At 36.0% G+C, this 6,131-nt stretch overlaps 1 annotated feature.

Moving 5' to 3' along the window:
- Positions 4,322-5,521: an enhancer, noted in NCBI's record as "P300/CBP strongly-dependent group 1 enhancer chr13:68764645-68765844 (GRCh37/hg19 assembly coordinates)". NCBI's record gives its function as "activates an origin of replication core promoter dependent on BRD2, BRD4, P300/CBP, MED14 and CDK7 cofactors, with strong dependence on P300/CBP, by STARR-seq in HCT116 cells {active_cell/tissue: HCT116}" and the evidence as "EXISTENCE:reporter gene assay evidence [ECO:0000049][PMID:35650434]".

Raw genomic sequence — 6,131 nt, forward strand, 5'->3', positions numbered from 1 at the left:
GATTTATTTAATGAATAAAAAACATTATAGGAATTCTGTATTCCAAGTTAATTTTATGAAGTACTGAAGGACAATGCCTTAGTTTATTTTTTTTTCAGCCTACTGAATCAGTATTTCAAGGGCAGGCATTTCAGGATCTGTGTTTTAAACAAAAGGCCCAAATAATTCTTATGACTAAGAAGTATTTTCACTGAAGAATAAAAAAAAATACAGTGAAATTCAAGTCCATCCCTGGACCTGAGTAGAGAAGTAAACTTACTTAATTCCTAATTGTATAACTTTTAGTAAATTGACTAATCACACCAGATTTCTGATTTTTATCCTCTAAGATAGTTTTAAAAAAACACACTTAGGCTTCTTACAAAAATACTTGTGGAATAAAAAGGAAATAAGTTTGGAAATGTTTCAAAAACATTTATACAAATATATCATTTTTCCTGTGCTTATGATTGCTGCTAATACTTTTTATTCTGGGCAAAGACATTTACTTTTCTCAAATCCCAATACATTTAGTTGATGGCTATAACTTTCTATTGTTTTGTTCAGTTTTGAAATTCAAACGTGGTTTAATAGTCATAAGAATTAATTTGAACAAATAGGACATATAAAATATAATGTTAATTAGTATCACAGATTATTTGCTTTCTGAATGAATATATTGCAGTTTCTTCTTAGAAGTCAGAAATTTTCACCTAAATACAATGAGTATAAAGGTGATTTTTTACATCTGTGTCATGTAGCACTGCCAAAATAAAATATTTATTTTTCATTGATAGAAAGTAACTTATAGCACCTTTTCTCTTCCTGCTGAAATATTACCAATTAAATAAAACATGAGTTCTAGAGAGATTTTTTGCTTTCATTTCTCCATATGGATTTCAGAACTCTCTGTTCTCTCTCCTAGAGCATACCCCAAACTGATTTCTAGCTAGTGTATTTTTATGCATTCTGGTACTTTGAATTCTGAGACAAACCAAATTCCTGAATAAGTTAGAATATCAGGAAGCTCAGGACTTGGGTTTGGGTCCACTAGGTAAACTCTGATTCTCATCAGGAAAACAACGTGAAGGCAATTATAAATGAGATCTTTTACTAGTGAATAACAAGAAAAGAACAAGAAAGCTACATAATAAGTTTAGCACAACACCTGAGAATAAATCATTATACTTATATTTTAATCAATTTGATACATCTCAACTATTAGTACTCTATTCTCAGAGGATACGCAAATAAAGAATGGTTTGTGCTGCCTAACAGATATCTAATCCATTCAGGAATAGCCTGATGTTTCTATTTCTGCAAAATTTAGTCTTTATTGTTGGCAATAGAAGCCTATATGTCAAAACTACCCTCCCCATCCTCCTTCAATAAATGAAAAGGCAAAGACACCTTGTCTCAGAGGTGTGTGCTCCTAGTGAGGGTGGGAGAAGGTAAAGAATATGGAGGGGGTGCCCCTAACACATTACCTGAATTCCTGTGAAGAGATCAGTGCACAAATGGAGGGCGGTATAATCATTGTATTCTATATCTGGAGCTCATAATGGCAGCAAGGAAAAAGAAGGAAAAGTATACTTGTGGAAAAAAAAAATGTCATTCTAGAGGAGAGAAGGAAACAAGCAAGATGAAAGTCCTAAGTCCCTAGGCTGGACCATATTTGAACCAGAGGTGGGCACTAGGTCCTAGTGTATCAGAAGATGAAATAGCTAATGTATGACTTGTTCTAAATTTCCTAAGCTCACTGAAACTATACTCATAGAGGAAAAAATACATCTTAAAGTATTATGATAATATTTGAAATTCTAAAGTAAGATATTAACTGTTTACATAGTACTGAATTGCCGGCCTGTACTGGCAGTAGATTTGAGGGTCTGTTGTCAAATGATGAATATATATGTAGGACAGTTTCGCTTTTTTGAAAGGATTCGTGAGCAAGTATGTGCTAAACCAGTCGAATTGTGATTAGGACCCTGCCTTTTTTACTAAAAGTATGGCAAAGTAGGGTGATTAGGCACAAACACTCCCACTCCAGAGACACAGAAGTTTTATTTGTGAAGTCTCTGATAGCTCCATGAAAATGGAATTTAGACAAAAGAAACGAGTCTGCAGTGCTTTGTGTTGAAATTGCTGAGGCAGTGTGCTTACCAGTACCACTTGAAGCATTTTTTTCTACTAAGGAATAAGAAATATAAATATATTGATATTACAAAGGGATTGCAGAAATGTCTGACTTTTTTTTACATGGATTCTTTATAGTAATATATTATCTTTAGCTGCAGGGTTATTCTGTCTTCCATGGTAGCATGATATAGAGGAGAGGATATATGTGGGTATATTTGTGTGTGTGTATGCACATTTACGCATATGTGTATGTGTGTTTATATGTAGTATGCTTGGGCAAGAGGAAAGGTCAGTAAAGTAATTAAACAAAGCCACATGATAGCTCATTACCTCCCTTCTTAGAGGAGACTGAAGATCCCCCTTTTGTATCCCTGCATATATATTTCTCTGTTTGACTTTGAGAGAATTTGTGTGTATAGAGAAATCATGAAAAAAGCTCATCCATCAACAGTTTTTGCAGCTTTATAAACCCTCAAAATCTAATGTGAGTACTTTGCTGTTGTCACTTGCATTTTCTCACTTCATTGGACAATTAGATTATTTGATGTGTTTTTAAAGTAATTACGAGCACAAAAGTGTCTCCTGTTGATTATGACAAATGCCTGTCAAGCTGTGAACTATCTAGGAAAGTATTCAAATCTATTAAGAACCCGATGATCTTTTTTATAATTTATTTCACTCTAGGCAGAGGCTGATATGACAGAATTAAATTTAAGGTTATTCAGTGACACCAGATTACCCAGGAGCTATCACTGATGAAAGTCAAAGAAAAGGGGAAAAAAAAGAGAGAGTTTTACAAGGACCCTGAACTTATATTTTTAGACAAGTAAAATAGAAAAATATTTTCATGTTTTTATTAATTCATTCAAAACTTCACTGGGTACTGTCAGGCAGTATATTGCTTACCATGACTCAGTGAAGAATAGGCCACTTTCTCTGTTGTCAAGGGTCTTAAAACTTGATTGTGAACAATGAAAAGTAAAATAAAATACAAAACAAAGTATGATTAGAGTAAGAAGGGCTTAAACTAGCTCATAGGAGGGGCAACTAAACATTTTAATTGTAAGAATTTCCCTGAAAAATAGTTATTTAAATGTTTGGACTATATTTGAAAAAGTCAGTCTGTATAGGATAGAGAAGGAGAGCAAAGGGAAAACTATTTCCAGATAAAAGTATAGCATATACACAGGGTCAAGGAAATCAGTCTATCAAATTGGTAAACTGAAAATTCTTCAGTATGCTACAACATAAGAATATAAGACAAATGTGCCAAAAATTGGATGTGGCAGTTTAGCAGGATTTTGGGAGATGGAATTACAAGTTTAGAATCAGTAGGGAGCCAGTGAACATGTTTAATTAGAGGAGTGATATGATCAGATGTATACTTTAAAAAGAAAAAAAAAGTATCTAACAGTCATAGGGAGAACTGAAATGAAGCAAGACTGAATAAAGCCAGACCAGATTTAGCAGAAAGATAATTTAGACAAATTTAAGAATGGCACTTCCATTTCCAACTTGGACAACTGGGAGTTTATTGGTTCAAATCACCAAGATCAGAGACCTAGGAAAAACAAGTTTCTAATTGTATGAGGAGAGGGAGTCCAGCTTCGATCATTATGAATTTGAGAATTCCTGTGGGATAGGCTGACAGGGGAGAGGATTGAAAAGCATCAGTGTGGAAAACACTTCCTGTTAACGCAAAGCTTAAGAGGAGTGACCACTTGCCAGTCAGACACTGGGCTTTAAACTTGCAATATTGTAATTGATTCAAGAGATGGGAAAACATCAACAGCAGGCCAATTTCCCTCCAGGTTGTGGGGAAGAGATGATCAGGGTAGATGCTCTCTCAAACTTCTCAGTTTCTTAATGATCTAATTTAGATGTCCTAGCTTTTCTATTGTTTTCGTCTGTTTCTGACTTAGAAGATTAGGTTGTTTCCCACCTAAAAAGACCCATGTTGTGTATTGTTTGATGTAAAACAGTATCAAATCGCTTTGGGATGGCTTTGCCTCCAACAGCTAGCACCTGCAGTTCCTCCAGCCTGTTCTGTCCACAACCTAGAAAGTCAGAAGTGTCCAGGAATTTGTATTTCCCATGGGTGGTCATTAACTAAGGACTTACAGGTGTGGGAAAAAGCAAGCCCCCCCCCACCCCCGCCCCCCACCAGATTCCTTGACAGAGGTCAGGACAATTTTGTGCCATAACTTGTACTCAATCCGTAGTTACCACTTTGAGGACTATGCCTGAGACCACACTCTTGATTGGCTTACTCCCTACTGTTCTGCTTTATTGATTCCCTTTTGGCGTGTCCCCTGATAAAATTCCCTTAATAAGTTATTTGCTCACAAATTCTCATCCTAGGCTCCACTTCCCGGGACTCTGTCCTAAGACATACTGTTTTCATGTTTACCTTACCAATTCCCACACTCCTCTATGCATCTGTCCACAGGAACCAGTGAAATGTCTGGAATACCTCTTCACACATAAATCTAATAGAGGATGCTTGATGTTTCCCAAGATGGTCCCATTTCTGATCTATGAGTAAATTGACACGAAATACACATTTTACATTTTGAATGTGTTAAGAGGTGTGATTGTTAGTACTAGGTGTCAACTTGATTGGATTGGAGAACGCCTAGATAACCGGTAAAGTATTTTTCCTGGGTGTGTCTGTGAGTGTGTTGCCACAGGAGATTGGCATTTGAGTCAGTGGACTGGGAGAGGATGACTCACCCTCAATGTGGGTGGGTCCAATCAATTGCTAGCAAGGCTAGAAAAAGCAAGTGGAAGAAGGTGAGATGAGCCTGGCTTGCTGAGTCTTCTGGCTTCCATCTTTCTCCTGTGCTGTATGCTTCCTCCCATTCTTCCTGCCCTTGGACCTCAGACTCCAGGTTATTCGGCCTTTGGACTCTTGAACTTACACCTGTCGTTTGTCAGGGATTCTCAGAACTTTGGCCTCAGACTGAAGGCTGTACCGTCAGCTTCCCTGCTTTTGAGGCTTTTAGCCTCCAACTGAGCCACTACTGGCTTCTTTCTTCCCCAGCTTGCAGATGGCCTATCATGGGACTTTGCCTTGTGATCGTGTGAGCAAATTCTCCCTAACAAACTCCCTTTCATATATACATATATCCTATTAGTTATGTTCCTCTGAAGAACCCTGATTAATACAAGAGGTAAATGTTTTATATATGCACATGCATGCATGCACATGTTATATATGTTTGTATATGTGTATGTATGTAGTAACAATAATAAATCTACTTGTATTTGTCAGAATGTTTTCAAGTACAAGTGACAGAATTCCAACTAAAACTAACTTAAACAAAAAAAGATAATTAATTATCACATAAATCGTGCATGCCCAAACAGTAGGTGTCGCCTTGAGCATGGCTGAATTTGGGGTTCAATGAGGTCATTAGAAATTGATCTACCTCTTTCATCTCCTGCATATGTTTGTTTCAGCTACCTTCTTTCTAGATAGGCTCTGCCAACAAGGAGACAAAATGGCTGCTGGAAGCTTTAAGTTTATAGTGACCTCATAAATCTGGATTCTACAGTTGCTATTTTAAAAATGCAATTCCTTTTATGCTTTTTTGTTGATGACCTATTTTTTTTAATCTTTCTCTCCAGAAGCTTTTAGGATTTTCTCTCTATCCCTGCTGTTTTGCAATTTCACAATGATTTGTCTTGTTATGGATCTTTTAAATTTCATTTTGCTGGCCTCTCTCCGGGCTCTTTGAATCTGAAAACTTATATTAACCAGGCCTGGGAATCATTTTTATATTATTACATTGATGGTAACCTCACTTCCATTTTCTTCTTCCCTTTTCCTGATATCCAAATCATTTTAGTCAAGTGTAGTGATCTTCACATTGTCTTATTATTTTCATTTTAAATTCATTGTTTTGTTCTATTTTCTAGCTGATAGTTTCAAATTTACATTTCACTCAGTTGGTCTTATTTTTAAATTCTAATGATGTTTTTTCTTATGATCTAAAATATGTTTTAGAATA

Source organism: Homo sapiens, chromosome 13 (genome assembly GCF_000001405.40).
Source record: "Homo sapiens chromosome 13, GRCh38.p14 Primary Assembly".
In the NCBI taxonomy this organism is placed as follows: domain Eukaryota; kingdom Metazoa; phylum Chordata; class Mammalia; order Primates; family Hominidae; genus Homo; species Homo sapiens.